This window comes from Homo sapiens, chromosome 17, assembly GCF_000001405.40.
Source record: "Homo sapiens chromosome 17, GRCh38.p14 Primary Assembly".
NCBI classification, from domain to species: Eukaryota; Metazoa; Chordata; class Mammalia; order Primates; family Hominidae; genus Homo; species Homo sapiens.
In genome coordinates, this window is record NC_000017.11 from 28,331,557 (window position 1) to 28,350,272 (window position 18,716).

The window sequence follows — 18,716 nt, forward strand, 5'->3', positions numbered from 1 at the left end:
ACACCCAAGCCATGGTTGTGTTCCCAGAAAGTTTAAGGTTTCTAAGAGCAAGAAATGAAAGATGGCATATCTAAAGACACCCTCCCCTCCCCATCCCGGTGTTTGGTTTGACTGGTGCCCTGTTGGGGACACATGAGAGCACAAGAGGGCAGACAGAAAAGGGTGGCACGTGGGAACTCACAGACGCCAGATTCAACCTCCAGGGAGCCAGCAGCTCCACTGTGGCAGGGCCAAGATGAGCCTGGGGTACAGTTGAAATGGCAGCTCAAAGCTGAGTGGCACTGTATCTCCCCAATACTCACTGTCCACAAAGTCTTTGCACTCTTCCTTCAGCTCTATGGTCTGCTGGGTAACCTCTGGGTCCAACACCCTCAGCTTGTTCAGTTCATCAAAGTGTAGCCCTGCTTCACCCAGGATGTCCTTGGCCATGGCTGTAAAGAAACAGGCCCAATTCCTCATCACTTCCCAGCCACCCAAGGAAATGCCTGCTGCCAAGCCAGCCCCACTCCTGCCCTTGGACACCAATGCCAAAAACCCAGGTGTTCCAAAGGATCCCCGTTCCCTCTGCCACCACCTCTCTGAGCCTCACCTGTTTCCCATCCAGGTTCCCTAGAGGAGTTCTGCTCTGAAGGAGTGACAGTGGCAGTCAGGAGGAGGTGTGTCATAGGAGCAAGGGTCAGGAAAGAATAAAGTCCGCTTGCTTGTCACAGGCATCGTTCATTCAACACACATTTCTTGAGTGCCTACTACATGCCAACACTGCTAGATGCTGGGGGTACAAAGATGAATGCAACACGGTGCCCGCCCTGAAGAGCACATAGTTCAGCTGGAAGAAGACAGACACGGAAACTGAAAAACCACACTGCGTTAAATGCTTGTTTAGAAACATCAGTAAAGAGCCAGAGGAGGACAGAGCCATTAATGAAGGAGTGACATGTGAACTAAGTTGTAAGCCATCAGTGTATTTACTTTATATATCACCAGTTATGTACTGAAAAGCACATGAAAAGGCTTCTCAAATACATATACTGGAACAACACAAAAACCAAATAAAGGAAATCCGAGTAAATTAAAAATTATGGTTAAAAAATAAAAAGTCAGGAGTAAGAATATTACTCAAAACGTATGCTTGCCTGAATTGGGAATCAAAGTTGGGTCATTCTCTTCCTAGCAGAAAACACAAAAAGGAATGAAGTATCAGCAAGAACATATCAAGGCAGGAGAACAGGGATAGGTATTCCAAGCAGAGAAAACAGCATGGACAAAGGCCTGAAGTCACTGAAAGGACCTATCTCACCTAAGGACGAGAGGAAAAAGAATGGAGCTGGAAAGGTGAGCTGGAGCCAGACCAGGAAGACCCTGCATGCCAAGCTAAGGAGTTTGGATTTTTTCTGTAGGCAACAGAGAACTAACAGAGATATCTTCTCCCTTACCAAGCCACCTTGCATTCCTGTTCCAAAGGATGCCTCAATTCTAGGAAGGAAATACTGAAAACTCACTCTTGTTCTGGCTCAAAACACACACACACACACACACACACACACACACACAATTAAACATAGACATCTTTATGACCTGTTTAAAAAGGGAGGCAATGCTACTTACATCTAGCAATTGGCTGCTATGCCAATTCTAAAACCCAGGTGCTCCAAAGTCTACCATCACCTGGACTTGCACCAGCCCCTTCCCTCTGCCCCCACTGCCCCCAGCCTCAGCTGTTTCCCTTCTGGCTTCCTTAGAGAAGTCCTGTTCTGAATGGGGTGATTCTGGGGTTGGCTGTCCAGGGCAGGTGTGCCAAGGAGGAGCAATGGCTGGAAAATAATCAAGTCTCACTGTTTCCAGAACTTCTGGTTTTTAAGATGACCAGAAATCCAGTACCTCAATGTTGGTATGTAATCCAAAAATTTTAAGTAAGGGGGAAAACCCACATCCAACACTGCATGGGCCAACTAATACATGTCTATGAGCTGTCTGTAGACGACTCTGGCCTTTGGCCTCACTGGAATCCACTGATGTAAGTGAGCTAGCATCATCCTTTTGAAGCATTTTGTTCATCTGTAGCTTCCTTAAAATAGGGCTTTTTAAAAAGATCTGGCCAGTGCAGTAGCTCATGCCTGTAATCCCAGCACTTTGGGAGACTGAGGTGGGAGGATCACTTGGGCACAGGAGTCTGAAACCAGCCTGGGCAATGTGGCAAAATACCGTCTCTACAAAAGATTTCTAAGATAGCCAGACCTGGTGACAGGTGCCTGTAGTCCCAGCTACTTGGGAGGGTAAGCTGGGAGGATCGCTTAAGCCCAGGAGGTGGAGGCTGCAGTGAGCCGTGTTCACACCACTGCACTCCAGCCTGGGCAACAGAGTGAGACCCTGTCTCAAAAAAAAAACCAAAAAATCTGTCTTTCGCAGCTACAGGTCATTAATCTGACCAGCTGCTCCAGAAAGATTGAAGTAACATGAGGGAGCAAATATCTGCTTCAACTTCCACCCCCTTCCCTGAGAGCATGCATTTATTCAGAAACATCCACTCAGTCCCTGCTCTGGGGACAGACTAGTGAAAACAATGCCTCTGGACAGATGGTAAAGAAATAATCACAAATCGTGATATTACTATAAGGAAAAGTACATGGTGCTGTGTGAAGTGCTGCAGGAGGACACAGTTCATGGGGGGCGGACTTGGAGGGGAGGGCCAACAGAGGCCTTCTGAAAAAAATGACACTTAAACAGACCTAAAGACTGTCCAAAAGTATGTCAAGTGAAAGGGGAAGCAAGGCATTGCAGGCAGAAGGAAACACGTATGTGAAGATCCTGAGGCAACAGGAAATTTGATGCATTCCGAGAACAGAGACTGAGCAAGAGAAGGGAACAGAATGAGGCTAGACAGGGAGACAACAGCTGGATCACCGAAGGCTCTGAAAGACGCAGTCATGAGCTTGGATTTTATCAGAAGGGTAATGGGACAGCCAGCGGGTTCTCAGCAGACCAACAAAATCAGACTTAGAAAGATCACTCTTGCTCAGCCTGAGAGAACCGATTGGAGGGAACAAGAGAGGGCAAAGCCCCAAGTACCTTCTTGTTCATCACTCTAACCCTAGCACCTAGCATGGTGCCCACACATAACTGGCACTCAGTAAATGTTTGTGGAATGAATGACCGTGGAAACAGGAGACTATTGCAGTAACCAAGGCTGGCAGCCGAACACAAGTGTTCCGAGTTGAGATGTTTTGTAAGTCGAGGTGATGGGGCTTAGCAATGGACTGACTGAATGTGGGGGTTTGGGGATAAGAGAAAAACAAGTCAGGCATGACTCCCATGAATCTGGCTTGGCCCACCTATCTGATTGGAAGGGCTGGCTTAAAGAGATAGGTAAGATGGAAGAAGAGGTGCAGGGAAAGAGTTCACAGATTATCTACCAACTCCCATCACACGCGTGTCTGAGCATCTGAGCAACACCTGGCCCAAGAGCTGGGACTAAGCTCCCTGAGCATGAGGCGGTGGCATACTTTCTGCGCCCCGGCTCTCCCAGATGCATGCGAGGCACTGCGAGCCGACTCTTTACTATGTAAACTCCCCGAACTTATCCGAGCCGCAGTTTCCTCGTAAGATCGTGGCAAGCATCAACGCATCAAACTCCAGGCCTAAGCTGGGTGTGAAAGCGCCCCCCTGAGAGTGGGGCGGAATTCCCACGTCTCTCCCCGCCCGGTACTGCCTTTCCTCAGGACGCGGGCCTGTCAGGCTCCTCTCGCCCCTGGTCCGCCCGCGTCCCCCGACCCGAGGTCAGCCTACCTGCCGGCCCCGCGGCGGCAGCGCGCTGCAGCCCAGGCTGATGTAGACAGGCAGCTTCTCCTGGGTCAGCGACAGCCGGTACCCAGCCAGCCTGCCACGGCCGCTGCCACGGATACAGAGCCTGTTTACCTATGACGTCACTACCTTCCTGACTCCGGAAGCACTTACAGCCCCCATTCCACAGAGCCTGCTGGGAAACAGAGGCCCGAGGGGAGGCCCGGCCTACAAGACCCAGAAGCCTTAGCGCCGGCAAGGCGGCCAGAAGTAGCTCTGCTCTCTCCGCGAAGACCCTCGGGGGATTCCGCCTCCACCCTTTCCCGGATAGAGCGCTATGCATGCAGGGACTTGTAGTCTCAGGCTCCCCAGCCGGCTGGGCTGGGCAGCACTCCGGGCGGAGTCGACGAGCGCAGGATGTGAGCTCACAGCTTGGGACTGCTGAGGGGCAGGCGGCTGCAGGCTAGGGGCGGCTCGGAGTCCGCTGGCCACCCAGCTGAGAGGAGAGGCGCCCCCGGGGACGGTGAGAGCCGGGCCCGCCGATGCCCTCGGGGAAGGGATGGACGGCCCCTGCTGGAGTAGAGCGAGCCCGGCCGGGTCCTGGGGGAAAAGGCGCGGGCGGCGTAGGGGAGATGGAGAGCTCCGATCTCCCACGGAGGGTGGGCGTGAGAACCGGTGTGGGTTTCTCGGTAGTGAGGAGTGGTCCGGGCTAGAGAAGAGCCCACACCGGCCACATTTCCCAGGACTTTTTGGGTGACGCTTAACCTTTACACCTAGGGTTTCTGCTAGATCCGCCACTCTAGCCCTCAGCTTTCCTCCCGCCGTCCTCCGTGTCTGACGGATTTCTGGGTCCTTCTTCCTTTTAGACCCCTCCTCTTTCCACCTCCGCGGCTGTTTGCCCTTTGTTGTGCTTGGGTTCCCATTAGCTTCGTTGCGTGAGCCACGGATCCGCCCTTAGCCCCGGGCATCCCCAAATATCCACACACAAAGTGCGGAAGGAAGAGCACTGTGGCTATCAGTGGAAACTTCATTCTCACTGGAATTACTTTCTGGGGCGTCACCTGCCACAGAATTCCTGGAACCCATTGGTCTGGGCGGAATGTGATTGACGTCATCCAGGGGCTCAAAGCAATTGCTTTGTAGGAAAGGAAGAGATTAGCTCTGGATCCGCCGACCTCTCTTGGCAGGCCTATCCTTTGAGCTCCTTTGCATTGGCAGAACATGTATGTGTGCTTTCTCTGATCCTGGGAAAACTAGGACTAGACACAAAATACACAGGGAACTTGCTAATACCTGTTAGAGAGGTGGATTTATTCCTTTGAGGTGGGCGGGAAAAGGGAAGGTGATCTCATACCATTCTAGTGTTTCTTAGTCATTGGCAACCTCCTGGTGAGGGCTCACCTCCCATACCCAACCCCTGTGGCAAATGAAAGAGTCTCCCAGACAAGCCGCCAAAGGAATTCACTGCTTCACACAGCACCCACGCTGGCTGTCCACTTCCTTGGACATTCTTCCCAGGGACTTACCTAAATCTTTTCAGGGACAATTTCAGTCTAACAAACTGACGTATGTTAAATACTTAAAATGTGCATGGCATTGTGCTGAGCACCATTAGGGGAACACAGCGGTAAACTTGGGAAACCAGTGCCCTGCTTCTGGGTTGCACTTACAAGGCATGAGCAACTGTAAACTCCTGCATGTGATGAGCATTCGGTGAAATCATTCCACTTTTTTTCTGTCTCCATTATTACCAATGTGGTCCAGGCTGCCATCATCTCTTCTTGCCTAGACTACTGCTTCCTCTGGTCTTCCCACTTTCTCTCTTGCACCTTTACAATTCATTCTCTACCCAGCAGCAAGTTATCTTTTCAAAATACACTACAAGCAAGTCAGATCATATCACTCCCCTGCTTGCAACCCTCCAATTGATTCATATACTATATAGCAATTAGTATGAAATCCACCTTTGTTATCATCTAACGCCTGCCTTCCCTGACTTGACATCAAACCAACTTCCCCCTACTGTCTGTGCACCAGCCATTATGACCGTATTTCTGATCCTCAAACTTGTTTTAATTTTGTCATTGTTGAGATGAGATTTCCCTATGTCACCCAGGCTGACTTTCCCAGGCTCAAGCAGTCATCCCACCTCAGCCTCCCGAGCAGCTGGGACCACAGGCATGAGCCACCATATCTGGCTAATTTTTTTTTATTTGTAGAAACAAACTCTCACTATGTTGCCCAGACTGGTCTTGAACTCCTGGGCTCAAGCAATCCACCCACTTCGGCCTCCTAAAGTGCTAGGATTACAGGTGTGAGCCACCACACCCGCCCCCTAAAACTTGTTTCTAACAGGAACTTTGCACTTACTCTTCCATCTGTCTACAATGCTCTCTTCAAACCTCAGCTGAAATGTCACCATCCCAAAGATGCTTTTCCTGTCCCTTTGTCTAAATTAGTGCCTCTCCCTAATCACTCTCATATCACTGTTTTATTATCTTTATTGCATTTATCAGGTTCTGGAATTATCTGCTTATTTATTTAAGTCCTTGTTGCTAGTCTGTTTCCTTCCACTAGAATGTAAGCTCCATGTGGACATGACTTTCTATATGTGTTCTCTTCTGAGTACCCAATGCCTGGCACGTAGGGGTACAATAAATGCTAGCTTTCTCTCTTTTTAAAAATTCCTGTTATGATGCTTCTTTGAACTGTTTGAAGGCAAAGACAATATTTTTTCATTGTTCCCTACTGCTTAACATAGTAGGCACTCAGTAGTTTAATTGCTGAATGAGTTAAATGAGCTAGTACATATTAAATGCCAAGAGATGGGGTCTTGCTATGTTGCCAAGGCTGGTCTTGACTCCTGGGCTCAAGAGATCCTCCCACCTCGGCCTACTGAGTAGCCAGGAGTACAGGCAGGTGGCAGCACACATCTCACCTCATTGTTTTTAGATTTATCCTCTGATCTTTTCTAGTCCTTTCTTCTCCCATTCTTATTGGGAGGGAAGAGGAGAGTAGGGCTGGGCTCCCTCTCAGGAAAAAGAAAGGAAAACAGCCATCCTATAGCTGTTCTTCCCTGAAAAATGGTGACAATTTCAGGAACTTGGGACAAGGCTGGTGCCAAGAAAGGGGAAGGTCAGGAAGCCCCAGCCGAAGCCCAGGTAACCTGCACCAAGAACACTGGCCGGCACCCCCGACCCTGGCTTACTGCATTCTCTCCTGAAGCTGCTTTTACTTTCCTTCCTGAAGCCAGACTCTCGGTGGTGCTCAAAATAAACACTGGCACAGACTGCTCTGGAGGCTGGAATCTTTAGAAAGGAAGTGCATCCTGTCCCTCTGGCTCCTGGGAAACTCCTAGACTGGCTGGATTCCCAGTAGGTTTGGTTGGAAGTCTGGGATCCTGGGAACCTTGACAAGAAAGTAACTGGAATCTGACTGGTAGATCTCTAGGGTGATCTGTTCCTCTGGCCCTCTCTAACTGGTTCCATGGGTTTGCTTGTCTTCCTCGCTGCCCTGAGTGGAGCTGAGTCTCAGGGAGGCTGATGAGGTGACCAGGGCAGGAGTCTGGGAGACTGCCTCCAGCCCTGGTTCCTGCTATAGTAAAAATGGCAGGGAGGCCAGACGCGGTGATTCATACTTATAATCCCAGCACTTTGGGAGACTGAGGTGGGCGGATCGCCTGCGCTCAGGAATTCGAGACCAGCCTGGGCAGCATGGTAAAACCCTGTCTCTACCAAAAAAAAAAAAAAAAAAAATTAGCTGGGTGTGGTGGTGTGCACCTGTGGTCCCAGCTACTCAGGAGGCTGAGGTGGGAGGATCACTTGAGCCTGGGAGGCAAAGGCTGCAGTGAGCCGAGATGGCACCACTGCACTCCAGCCTGGGTGACAGAGTGAGACCCTGTCTCTAAGAAAAAAAAAAAAAAAAAAGAAAGCAAAATGGCAGGGACTTAGCCTCTGCCAGGGAGCAGTGCTTGGGCTTGTCAGGGAGAGAATGAGTACGGTCGTGTTTCTGCTATTGTCTCCTCCTGGGCTGTCTCAGCTGGTTCGTGTCTTCTCTTCCCTCTCCCATGTACAGCACTGAGATTATGAGGCTCTGGCCTCCACTGGCCACTCACTCGTGACCCTTTCCACCACGGCGGAGCCTTCCAAGCCTACCTCCTGCCGTGTGGTGATCTACCTGCAGCGGGAGATGTCGGGGGACACCTGCCTGTGCCCAGCCTCAGGGGCCAAGCCCAAGCTCAGTGGCTTCAAGGGAGGAGGGTTGGGCAACAAGTATGTCCAGCTCAACGTGGGCGGCTCTCTGTACTACACCACTGTGCGGGCCCTGACCCGCCACGACACCATGCTCAAGGCCATGTTCAGTGGGCGCATGGAGGTGCTGACCGACAAAGAAGGTGAGGCACTGGGGCTGCCGCTCGGGGTGGGGAGGGCAGGAGGAGTTCCCAAGGAAATGACCAGATCTAGAATTCAGTCACTTTTCCTCTTCACTTTATGTAGGGTGTCTTCACCTGGAGTCCCTAGTAGAGCTTCAGAATTCTGTGAAATTGTATATGGAATGCTGTGTTTATGCATTTTCCAGGAAGAAGAGCCATACTTTTAAAATATTTAAATAGGACAAGATTCTCATAGGAGCCGTCACCTTAAGACTGGGCAGCGGGCAGAAGGCCGGCAGTGGCTGGTGGTTTCTGTGTTGGGCTGGGCCTGGTACCCTGAGCCTAGGCCCCTGTGGCTTCTACAGCCTGGAGGGCTGTATCCCCCGTGGGATGTGCCAGTTCTGGGTTTCAGAGAGGAAGGGTGAAGAGCAGCCATGGGCCTGAGTGCTAGAACCTCCATCCCCGCCTCTGTCACCCTGCGTAAGGGCTTTGTGCTCGTGGACCCCCTTCCCTGCCACCTGCCGCCAGCTTGTCAGGTGGCCTTTGCCTGCCTCGGAGGTACCTGGCGGCAAACTAACCCTGTAGGGCCTTCTGCACCCCTAGGCTGGATCCTCATAGACCGTTGTGGAAAGCACTTTGGCACCATTTTGAATTACCTCCGAGATGACACCATCACCCTCCCTCAGAACCGGCAAGAAATCAAGGAATTGATGGCTGAAGCAAAGTATTACCTCATCCAGGGGCTGGTGAATATGTGCCAGAGTGCCCTGCAGGTACATGGGTGGGGCGGAGCAGGGCGGGCAGATGAGGTCAGGAGTTGCCCCCTTCTTGTGGGATGGAGGACTCTGGTTCCTGGCAGGTTGTGTGGGAGGCGTGGTTGATGAGTGCAAACCTAATGAGACAAGTGAGATGCCACCCAGGCCCACCAACCTGGCAGCCAGGTGTTCACACTTGGCAGCGTGAGTAGGCCCTGCTTCTGGTTTCTATGCTTTGCTACCCGGATTTTAGGGGGTTTTTCTGTTTTTGCTTTTGTTTCTGTTTTTGTTTTTGTTTTTTGAGACAGGGTTTCACTCCTGTCACCCAGGCTGGAGTGCAGTGGTGCGATGTCAGCTCACTGCAACTTCTGCCTCCTGGGTTCAAGTGATTCTCGTGATTTGGCCTTCAGAGTAGCTGGGAATGCCAGCATGCGCCATGGCACCCAGCTAATCTTTGTATTTTTTGTAGAGATGAGGTTTCACCATGTTTTCCAGGCTAGTCTCGAACTGCTGGGCTCAAGTGATCTGCCTGCCTCAGCCTCCCAAAGTGCTGGGATTGCAGGTGTGAGCTACCGCACCCGGCCTGGATCTTGGGTTTTCTAACTGGGGGTCTGCTTTCCAGCTGGCAGTTTCTATTGTCAGGGGCCTCATGATCTGTATCTGACACTTCCTCACCAAGCAGCGGGTGGCCATGGCAGAGGGGCTCCAGAGGTATACCTCGATAAGCCTGGGAAGCAGAAGATCCTAAAGAGGGTTCTCTGTTCTGTGTCGCACAGGACAAGAAGGACTCCTACCAGCCTGTGTGCAACATCCCCATCATCACATCCCTAAAGGAGGAGGAGCGGCTCATCGAATCCTCCACCAAGGTACCAGGACCTCTGAGGGGTGCGGGCCGGGGATGCCAGTCCCCTGGCCTGGCCCCTCACTCTGAACTCCTTCACAGCCCGTGGTGAAGCTGCTGTACAACAGAAGCAACAACAAGTATTCCTACACCAGGTAGGGTGCGTCACAGGGCTCAACAGACACTGGGCAGCAGACCCAAGGAGTACTGCCTGTACTCCCAGCACGGTCGGCGTGGGTCTGGGCCTGGGTCTTGGAACTGGCTGTGCCAAGTTGGGGAAAAACAGAAAGTAGAAGGGAAATTGGGACAGAGGCCTTTGGAACTCAGCAGGGTGCCCTGGCTGGGATATAAATGATTGAAGGTGAAATGCGCCCTCAACGTGTATCACGAAGGCAGCATGGCAGGTGTTTTCACACGTGTCATCCTACCGGGTGGAGGGGATGCTAGGAGGCCGGTGAGCTGGGAGTCCCCCAAGCCAGCCTGTGCAGTTCACACTGGGCCGATTCCCTCCCCACACCCTCCAGGCCATGTCCTCTCCATAGGCCACAGTTAGGTAGACGCAGGTGGCTGCAGGTTCAGAGTCCCAAACCCTCCCTATGATTCCCTGTGGCCAGGCATATTGCCACTGTCACCCCCACAGTAAGGGAAGGAATGCCTCCCACTGACATAGCAGCCTTGTCTCCTTCCTTCCAGGGTTAGTGAGGGGAGACCTCCTTCCTCAGCTGTCCCTACTTTGACTTAAAACCAACTGAGTTCCTTTTCCTCACAGGCCCCCCAACCCAGAGGGTACCCTATGATCCTTTCTCTCCTGGCCCCCTGGCATCTTGCTTTCATTTCGGCAGGACAGGATGGGGGAAGGGAGGGAGGGGAGGGCCCCACTTGTCTAGCACCCTCCCTTGGACTGGAACCTCACTCCCAGCCGCTTGGCCCTCATGTTTTTTTCAGCAACTCTGACGACCACCTGCTGAAAAACATCGAGCTGTTTGACAAGCTCTCCCTGCGCTTCAACGGCCGCGTGCTCTTCATCAAGGATGTCATTGGTGACGAGATCTGCTGCTGGTCCTTTTATGGCCAGGGCCGTAAGCTGGCAGAGGTGTGCTGTACCTCCATCGTGTATGCCACGGAGAAGAAGCAGACCAAGGTGTGGGGGATTGCCCCTGCCTGGGTAGGGGAGGACACACACCCACTGTGCGGGGGACGTGGTCGGGCTGTGACCAGCACGGAGCAAAAGGGGCATGGACTTGGCTCTTTTTTCCAAACACGGTAATGGTGCTGGGCAAGGACAAGGCCAGAACAAGGGGTGTGGGGAATGGACGGGAACTGCTTTGTTCCTGACAGCGCAGGGCAGGGGCCGTTGACCACCAGGAAGTAGCCTAGTACAGTGGGAAGGACTGGGTCTTTGAAGTTGGCCCAATTCAGGTTTGAACGCTGGCTCACACCACTTGCCAGTTTTCTGACTTTGGATAAGCCACTTAAGCCATCTGGGCCTCAGGTTCCTCATTTGCAGACATGGGGATGATAGTATGAATTTAACGAGATATGAAAATGATACAACTCTTTGGAGCAGCAGTGTGGTGTAGAAACAGCTTGGGCTTTCGTGTTAGAATGCTGTTCAGATCTCCTGTCTGAGCCAGGGACACAGGTGGGCACAGCACTTGAGCCCAGGAGTTCAAGACCACCCTGGACAACATGGTGAAACCCCGTCTTTACAAAAAATAGAAAAATTAGCCAGGCATCGTGGCACATGCCTGTAGTCCCAAGTACTCAGGAGGCTGCTGTGGGAAGATCCCTTGAGCCCAGGAGTTTGAGGCCAGCCTAAGCAAAATAGCAAGATTCCACTTCCAAACACTTTTAATAATAATAAAATAAAATCTCCTTACTGGCCCCAACCAGCTGGGGGTTTCTGGCTAATCAACTTAGTGCCAGGTACACAGGAGGCATTTGATAGGTGACAGTCATCACAAACTCAGGTGGCCCCTCTCCCCCAGGCTGCAGTCAGTTACCCCAGAGAGTAGCTGCCTCCTGTGAGTGCAGGTCCTGGAGATGATACGCTGGGGTGGATGGCAGGTCATCCAGGAAGGGCCATGTGGGTGTGAAGAGCTCAAAGTAGCCAGACTTGCCAAGCAACTTGTCGACCCCCAAACTACTCCAGGTGCCTCCAGCTGGGAGATCTGCAGAGGGTTTGGGGAAGGCCAACTTACAGGTGGCCCTGCTTCCTTCTGCGGTTTTTGGTGTAGGGGTGGGAGGGAGGGCGACAGGTGGTTCCTGACCCTATCGGTGGTGAAAGGGTTCAGGGGCAGGTCTCCAGTGGCTGGTGATGCTGCGACGGAAGTGGCAGCGCACCTGGCATCTTCTTAAGTGTGTTGTCTTTCATGAACTCGTGTGACCCCTCACAACATGCCTGTGAGACACGCAGGGCTAGAGCCACTCTCCCCATGTGACAGATGAGTGAACAGAAGCTCAGTCCAACAGAGCAGGTCTGGCTAGAATTCAGGTGCTTGACTGCCTTCCCTTTCTCCTTCCTCCAGGCAGGTCATGCCGGTGACACACTGCGTCAGGCAGGCAGAGAAAGGCAGCATAACCACTCAGCATAGCAGCTGCTCTGTGTATGCCTCTGCTTGGTGGTTTGCTGTGTGCCAATCTTCTGCTAAGCAATCACATCTTTCCCGTAATGTTGACAGCAACTCTCAGGGGTTGAGCTGAACCAACCTTTTGTACATATGGGAGCTGCAGCCCAGAAGGGTTCAGCCCAAGGCTCCACAGCTAGCAAGTGGTAGAGCTGTGTTGGGACCTAGCTCTGGCCCACCCTCTATGCCCACTAGTCCCTTGGTCTCAGGCTGGGGCAGGGGTGTGGAGGATGTTGGTCTTCCCTGTCCTCATGTCTGTAGAGTACATCCCCTCACCCCGCCTTCGGAGGGAGGCTGGCTTTCCCTGGAGACGGACCGCCACCTGTTTTATGAGAGGTAGCGGAGGCCTTATGGAGCCTCAGGGCCAGCCGCTCTGACGCATGGCTTCCTCTTGAAGATGAAACCTTGCTCCACCTTCTTCCTCCCTAACCCCAGGTGGAATTCCCAGAGGCCCGAATCTATGAGGAGACACTCAACGTCCTACTCTATGAGACTCCCCGCGTCCCCGACAACTCCTTGTTGGAGGCCACAAGCCGTAGCCGCAGCCAGGCTTCCCCCAGTGAAGATGAGGAGACCTTTGAACTGCGGGACCGTGTCCGCCGCATCCACGTCAAGCGCTACAGCACTTACGATGACCGGCAGCTCGGCCACCAGTCTACCCATCGCGACTGACCAGACCCTCAGGGAGTCAGGGCACGGGAGGCCCTATCTCCCATCCTGTGGAACCCGCCCCATTGGCCACCCCATGCTGCTGCTGCCTGGGTCTCTGCTCTAGCACCCAGAGGCATGACAGGCCCTGCTCAGAGGTCAGAGGGTCTGGGCAGAGGAGGGACCACATTCCCCTGCCTTGCCCCTGAGCACTTCTGGAGACTGCGTCCTGTCCTATCTGCTCACCATCACCCTTCCTGCCCGACGGAGCTGCTTCTGCTCCCTGGGGCATATGGACTGACCCACCTCCTGCTGAGAACCTTCCCCTAGGCCCTGTGCAGAAGGCTACTGCCCCTTAGGCCTCAGCTGGGGGAAAGGCAGTTCTGGTGCTGTAGAGGCCCTGGTGCAGAAAGTGGGACGTCTTTTTTCCTAAGGTGTTTAAGCACAGGCTTGATAAGTTTGGTTTTTAAAAAATAATCTAGGAAATGAATAATTCTAAATCTAGTAATGAGGAAACTGAGCATTTCTTTTGCCCTCCAGGGTGCCAAGACCCTACATATGACAGAACCCTTGGCCCTTCTCCATGCCTGTGGGATCTGTTTCTTTAAAGCACTTTGTACTGTTATTCAGGAGGTTGATAATCTCCTTGACCCATGTCTTTCTACCCTAATCCCCACTTCCCTGCAGAATCAATCTGAGGGAGGGGATAAAGAGGAAGCAATAAAAAAAAAACATCCGACAGAGCAGCTCTGGCTTTGCAGCCTGGCCAGCAGCTCAGAGTGCACCGAGGAGGGAAGGATGGCTAAGCTGGGACCGGCAGTCCTCACAGGGTGCCTGTGAGAAAGGACATTTTACCCCCACATCATAGTCACATCACTGACTCCTAGGTCTAGCACGACTGCTCTTTGTGATTCTCTTGAGTACCCTTGGCTTCCAGCCATGCTGTCCTCACATACGGTAAAGCCAAAGAGCTGTCACATGGGCCAGAAACATGAGCCACGGCAGGAAGACCGTGGAGCCCGTGGGCACTGCATGGTGTTGGCTGGCATGCCCATCAGCTGAGGACAGCAAACTCCCAGCAGCCCCTACAGAGGTGGCACATGCTTGGCCACACATCTACTCCCTGCCCACACCATCTATGCTCTTGGTTGGTGCTGGCTGGGATGGCGGTTCTGCCCAGTGGTGTCTCTGAGCGCGGGATGACAGGAGCAACCGAAGCACCCTGAAGGCCTTCACTCCTTGTTGGGTAACTCAGCCATGGAGATGCCAAGCACTAGCCAGGAGGTGAGTTCCTCTTTAGGGCTTTGGTTTTCATTCCTTTTTGTTTGGCTTGGCCAAACCAGAATTCAGCTTATCTGAATTATTTTCCAAAGGAATGCTGTCAGGGAGGGACTGTTCTGCCAGCCTAACAAAGCAACGTAGCCACGTATAGTACCCACTTTCTGCTCTTTGGAGAGAACACAGGTTATCAAGTTCATCTCTCTTGACTACTCTTATGATAGCTGATGCCACAGAGCCTATGGGCAAATGCCAGACCCAGGGTTAGACACAAGGACCTGAAGTGACATGACGGCGGGACAGGGGAAATGTGACTTTCTAATTAGGCATTTTATGTTAGTCACAGTCTTGAATGTATAAACAGCACTAAGACTCTCAGGTCAGGTACCTTGGTGATCAGCTACTAGTTCTTCCAGCCCTCATTGAGGTAACAAGATAAAGACAAATCCACTTCTTTGGCCAAATTCAGGCTTTGGCTTTATGACTTTCCCACAGAGACTGGAATGCGTCAGCCTGAGACCACTGGCCTATTTTCTCAGCTGCCCTCTTGAGGTCCTTTAACACTCAAATTCCCAGCTCCCCACTGAGGTGTTGTGATGCTTGCCTTTTGACCTCCCCATCCCCTTTAGTCCCTGCTTACTACTTTGACATTCACATCCTCAGTGTCTCAGTCTTTTTTGCCGAGAAAGCACAGTAGTCTGGGACTGGGCATTTATCTTCTCTGACTGAAAATCTCTCCTTGGTCTTAAGGAAAATACTAACATTGAACTCACTGACATGATCTTAGCTTCTTTAATCAGACTTTGTGACTTAAAAGTTTGGGGGTTTTCTTTGAAAGTTTCCAGCCCTATTCAGAAAGCAACTCTTGGCTGTGTGCATTTTTCAACTCCAAGCAGCCCAGGGGTAAGTAAACAAAGTATGGATGAAGGTCAGATTTTCTTGTCAGTTTCTGAGAAACCTGGCAGCCTGCTGTTAACAACACAGGCCAGTATTGGGTTTTATTGAATTTGGTATGTGACCAAGGTCGGCCTAAAGGATGGCGCAGGTCCTGGGCAGGAAAGAATTTTTCCTTTATCACATAACTGTAATATTTGGTTGCTCAGCATAAGTGATGGAAGCAAACACTAATTTCTAATAAAATTGTGTTAAACTCAATGGTACAGAGCCATGTTTACAGTGAGCAGGCCTTGACCAGCTTGCGGCCATGGGCTGAGTTCCTGTGCTTCTGTTTATCATCTGACCTTGTGTTCTAGCCAGGTCGTAAGCGCGACTGTACTGTTGCCCTGCAACCCCAGCTCCCCCTGGAGGACTAAGGACAAGAATAACAAGGGCTGGAACTGTGATTTAATATTAATTCAAGAAAACTACCTCTAACAATCACTGCAGTGGCGGAGGAAAAGAAATCCTAAGAATTGGGGCAAGATGCAGCACAATTCATCTCTGGCTCTTGGAAATCTGAGAGAAGCTCAGGAAGTAGCTTGACTTAGTCATCAATCCATACCTAAAGCTGCTCCTCAGCCAAATTCCTGCATTTGTGGTCTGGATGCTTGGCAGAGTCATGCTGAGGGCTGGCACACCCATTGCTCCAGGAAACCCGACTGGCTTGCCTCCCTCCTCTCCTGGGCCTAGCGAGGCCAGAAATGGCAATGGTCGGTCAGTGCTAAGAGCCAGGCCACTCCGACCCTGACACTGGCCTCCCTCTCTGCATTTGGCAGAAGGTAAAGTGAACAAGAGTCCAGTCCAGCACCCCCGCCAACTAGCTGAGAGGCACAGTGACCCTAGGAGATGTCCAGCCAGCCTCCAGGCTGAGAGGGAAACAGGCACATGCCCTACCAGGGGGGCAGCTCCCTGGAAGGGCAGCAAAGAAAGCAGTCAAGGGCGCACACTGGGTCAGAAGGGGAGCCTGAGACTCTGGGAGCAGAAATGGCAAGGGTGGCCAAGCGTGCACTGGTTTACTGATCAAACCTCACGTGACAGGCCAGGAAACTCCTCCAGGCCTGTGGCAGCTGAACACAGTTCCTTGGTGGAGAGGTTTACTGGAACATGGTGTAGGCAGGGCTTATGAGGAGGCCAGCCTTGGAGGTGTCCCACATGGGTCTTCTGAAGAAAAGTTATACCACCCCTCCCCACAAAAAGAACCCCACAATCAAATTAAGAGACCCACTGTGGCCCATGATGGGGAGAGAAGAGTTCTGCAGCAATTGTGGGATGAGAGTTGTTCTTCCCGGTGACCAAGCCTGGGCACTTGGGGCCTCAGCTGGCCTACCAGTGAAGGCCTGAGGGTGGTGTCTTCTCATCTTTATTGCTTTCCAGGGAGAAGGGAGGAATCCGAACATCAAAGTGGGAGCCATCAGGTCTTTCAAAGCGGAACGTGCCCCTACAGTCAGAAAGAAGCTGGTTTAGAAGGAGCCAGGGCTGAGGCCTCCTAAGGATCTGGATGGCCCCATGCCCTCAGCTGCCAGCCACAGAGGACATGTGAGCCTGAGCTCTCTTCTATCTCTAGCTCATGACAGGATGACTGGTCCAGAGACCCAAGAGCCCCTCATGGTTATCCATGAAAAGAAAAACACAGCTGCAGTGGCTCACGCCTGAAATCCCAGCATTTTGGGAGGCTGATGCCAGCAGATCACCTGAGGTCACCTGAGGTGGGGAGTTTGAGACCAGCCTGACCAACATGGAGAAACCCCGTCTCCACTAAAAATACAAAATTAGCCGGGCGTGGTGGCGCATGCCTGTAATCCCAGCTACTCGGGAGGCTGAGGCAAGAGAATGGCTTGAACCTGGGAGGCGGAGGTTGCAGTGAGCCAAGATTGTGCCATTGCACTCCAGCCTGGGCAATAAGTGAAACTCCATCTCACAAAAGAAAAAAGGAAAACACAGCTGTCCAGATTCTGGCCTTTAGATACATACTGCATAAGCTAGCCAACTGCATTTTCAGGTAAAGGAGTGAAACACCAAGGGAAAAAACCCAACTATACAAGCAATTCTGCAGCATCAAATCACCAGACCTCTTTAGCCTAAGTCCTCAGTCCACAAATCACAGGGTACTGGGAAACAGGCGGTAATAGAAAATCAGACAAGTCCCACACAACAATATAGCAGATAAGGCTCCCTCTAAGAATGTAACTTGGCCCAGAGTTAATGGCAAGCTCTAAGCTCTCACTTTTCTGACCTACAGCTTCTGTTTGTGGAGCTGGGTGGCCCCTACTGCTGTGCACACTCACTCACCACATGTGCCCACTGGAAGCCTGCAGCGAGACGTGGCTGCTATACTGGAACGCAGGCTGCTCCTTGGATAACACTGGTTCCTGTAAAGGTTTAGGCAAAATGGGTCAGGCCAAGCCCCAGGGACATGTTTCCTGCACCCCAGGGTTACATGCTGACTGCCAGTTCATCAAGACTGGATGTCCCCTACCCAGCCACCACCACAGCAGGCACTCCCATAGCATGATACACTTCCTGCCAGTACCTCCTCCCATAGATGGCCATTTGGCTGGGCCTTTTATGCTGGCTCTGGGAAAGATAATCTCAGACTGAATGTCCGAAGGCACTGGGCAAAGGACCTCCTCTGCAGCCCGGGGAACACAGTGAGACCCCATCTCCACAAAAAAAAAAAAAAAAAAAAAAAAAATTTAAACTAACCAGGCATAGTGGTGTGTGCCTGTAGTCCTGCTACTCAGAAAGCTGAGGCGGAGGATTGCTTGAGCCCAGAAAAGTAAACTATGGTCGCACCACTGCACTCCAGCCTGGGTGACACAGCGAGACCCTGTCTCTAAAAACAAAGGACCTCCTGTGGAGATATCCCCTCCAGTGTCCATTCACACATGCTGGCGGGGACCACGGCAGGTACTCTGCAAACCTCTGCTGCTTTAATTCTCCTAATGATCATAAGATAACTGGTGTGATCCACATTTTAGGAGTAAGGAACTAAGATTTTGGTTAAATAACTTGCCGAAAGTTATGCTAATATATAACTCAGCTGGAATTTGAAGTGACTACCTAAATCCAAAGCCTTGTTCTTATTCACTTGCCCAACTGCCTCCCCAGTCCTCGCTGACTTTGATAAATGCTTGTTGAATGTGGCCCCTGACACCAGTACTGCTTGTGACTTTATTTCTCAGGAGACAGGGTTGGGTAGGCAGGGATTATAAAATCAGATCTCTTCAAGGACCAGCAGAGGATGTAAACATGTAAAGGGGCAAAGAGGCAAGACCACAGGGATTGGTGGGGGTGTGTGCCCCACCTAACGACATTCAAATTTTAGTTTTTAAAAGACACTATACCAGTTTTAAAAACTACACAAGTTTTGACTTCAGACTCACTTGGGTTTAAATTGAGGCCCTGCCACTACTAGCTATGGGACCATGGGCTGGTTATTTAACTTCTCAGTCTCACTCTTTTCATCTATGAAATGGGTT

The 18,716-nt window shown here is 51.7% G+C and overlaps 3 protein-coding genes and 1 long non-coding RNA gene across 11 annotated transcripts in view, besides 6 other annotated features; 2 read left to right on the forward strand and 2 right to left on the reverse strand.

The window, feature by feature from the left end:
- IFT20 (intraflagellar transport 20) overlaps window positions 1–3,916 on the reverse strand; it is a 7,147-nt gene extending 3,231 nt beyond the window's left edge. For 3 of the 6 annotated variants that reach the window (NM_001267778.2, NM_001267776.2, NM_174887.4), the window contains exons 1-2: window positions 3,784–3,916; window positions 303–431 (exon numbers count right to left, since the gene is read on the reverse strand). In NM_001267778.2, coding sequence (NP_001254707.1) covers window positions 303–429 — 127 coding nt within the window. In that variant the 5' untranslated portion in view covers window positions 430–431; window positions 3,784–3,916. Of the gene's footprint in view, window positions 1–302; window positions 432–589; window positions 827–3,783 lie in introns of all 6 variants that reach the window. The other 3 variants (NM_001267777.2, NM_001267775.2, NM_001267774.2) reach the window with 2 other exon arrangements.
- Window positions 3,613–3,804: a silencer, noted in NCBI's record as "fragment chr17:26662195-26662386 (GRCh37/hg19 assembly coordinates)". NCBI's record gives its function as "represses an EF-1alpha promoter that drives an FKBP-Casp9 reporter gene in an ReSE screen in K562 erythroleukemia cells {active_cell/tissue: K562}" and the evidence as "EXISTENCE:reporter gene assay evidence [ECO:0000049][PMID:32094911]".
- Window positions 3,613–4,257: a biological region, named in NCBI's record as "ReSE screen-validated silencer GRCh37_chr17:26662195-26662386".
- Window positions 3,728–4,257: an enhancer, noted in NCBI's record as "active region_11923". NCBI's record gives its function as "activates an Ori minimal core promoter by ATAC-STARR-seq in GM12878 lymphoblastoid cells {active_cell/tissue: GM12878}" and the evidence as "EXISTENCE:reporter gene assay evidence [ECO:0000049][PMID:35858748]".
- TNFAIP1 (TNF alpha induced protein 1) lies at window positions 4,205–15,453 on the forward strand. Of its 2 annotated transcripts, none has more exons than XM_017024993.3 (7): window positions 4,205–4,300; window positions 7,852–8,170; window positions 8,753–8,922; window positions 9,681–9,770; window positions 9,848–9,900; window positions 10,691–11,008; window positions 12,808–15,453. In XM_017024993.3, the coding sequence occupies exons 2-7, from the start codon at window positions 7,966–7,968 to the stop codon at window positions 13,145–13,147; spliced, it is 1,176 nt and encodes a 391-aa protein (XP_016880482.1). In that variant the 5' UTR covers window positions 4,205–4,300; window positions 7,852–7,965; the 3' UTR covers window positions 13,148–15,453. The 2 variants fall into 2 exon arrangements, with proteins under 2 accessions (XP_016880482.1, NP_066960.1); NM_021137.5 differs by having other exon boundaries at window positions 10,691–10,886.
- Window positions 4,298–4,347: a silencer, noted in NCBI's record as "silent region_8335". NCBI's record gives its function as "represses an Ori minimal core promoter by ATAC-STARR-seq in GM12878 lymphoblastoid cells {active_cell/tissue: GM12878}" and the evidence as "EXISTENCE:reporter gene assay evidence [ECO:0000049][PMID:35858748]".
- Window positions 12,632–13,135: an enhancer, noted in NCBI's record as "H3K4me1 hESC enhancer chr17:26671214-26671717 (GRCh37/hg19 assembly coordinates)". NCBI's record gives its function as "activates a minimal SCP1, AML or CMV promoter by ChIP-STARR-seq in naive H9 embryonic stem cells {active_cell/tissue: H9 hESC(naive)}" and the evidence as "EXISTENCE:reporter gene assay evidence [ECO:0000049][PMID:30033119]".
- Window positions 13,639–14,142: an enhancer, noted in NCBI's record as "H3K4me1 hESC enhancer chr17:26672221-26672724 (GRCh37/hg19 assembly coordinates)". NCBI's record gives its function as "activates a minimal SCP1, AML or CMV promoter by ChIP-STARR-seq in primed H9 embryonic stem cells {active_cell/tissue: H9 hESC(primed)}" and the evidence as "EXISTENCE:reporter gene assay evidence [ECO:0000049][PMID:30033119]".
- The window catches only part of POLDIP2 (DNA polymerase delta interacting protein 2), a 10,895-nt gene continuing 7,255 nt past the window's right edge, over window positions 15,077–18,716 (reverse strand). For both annotated transcript variants that reach the window (NM_001290145.2, NM_015584.5), the window contains exons 10-11: window positions 17,527–17,606; window positions 15,077–16,675 (exon numbers count right to left, since the gene is read on the reverse strand). In NM_001290145.2, the coding sequence (NP_001277074.1) occupies window positions 16,561–16,675; window positions 17,527–17,606 (195 nt within the window). In that variant the 3' untranslated portion in view covers window positions 15,077–16,560. The remainder of the gene's footprint in view (window positions 16,676–17,526; window positions 17,607–18,716) is intronic.
- On the forward strand, window positions 16,674–17,942 carry LOC124903963 (uncharacterized). The gene is made up of 2 exons (XR_007065687.1): window positions 16,674–16,773; window positions 17,477–17,942. It is a non-coding gene; the product is annotated as an uncharacterized LOC124903963 (long non-coding RNA).

Bases quoted from the DNA above. Each gene is read 5' to 3' on its own strand.
- TNFAIP1 (XM_017024993.3), top strand. From the start codon at position 7,966: ATGTCGGGGGACACCTGCCTGTGCCCAGCCTCAGGGGCCAAGCCCAAG. The intron at 8,923-9,680 runs GTACATGGGTGG...TGTGTCGCACAG, and splicing joins TGTGCCAGAGTGCCCTGCAG to GACAAGAAGGACTCCTACCA. The intron at 9,771-9,847 runs GTACCAGGACCT...ACTCCTTCACAG, and splicing joins TCATCGAATCCTCCACCAAG to CCCGTGGTGAAGCTGCTGTA.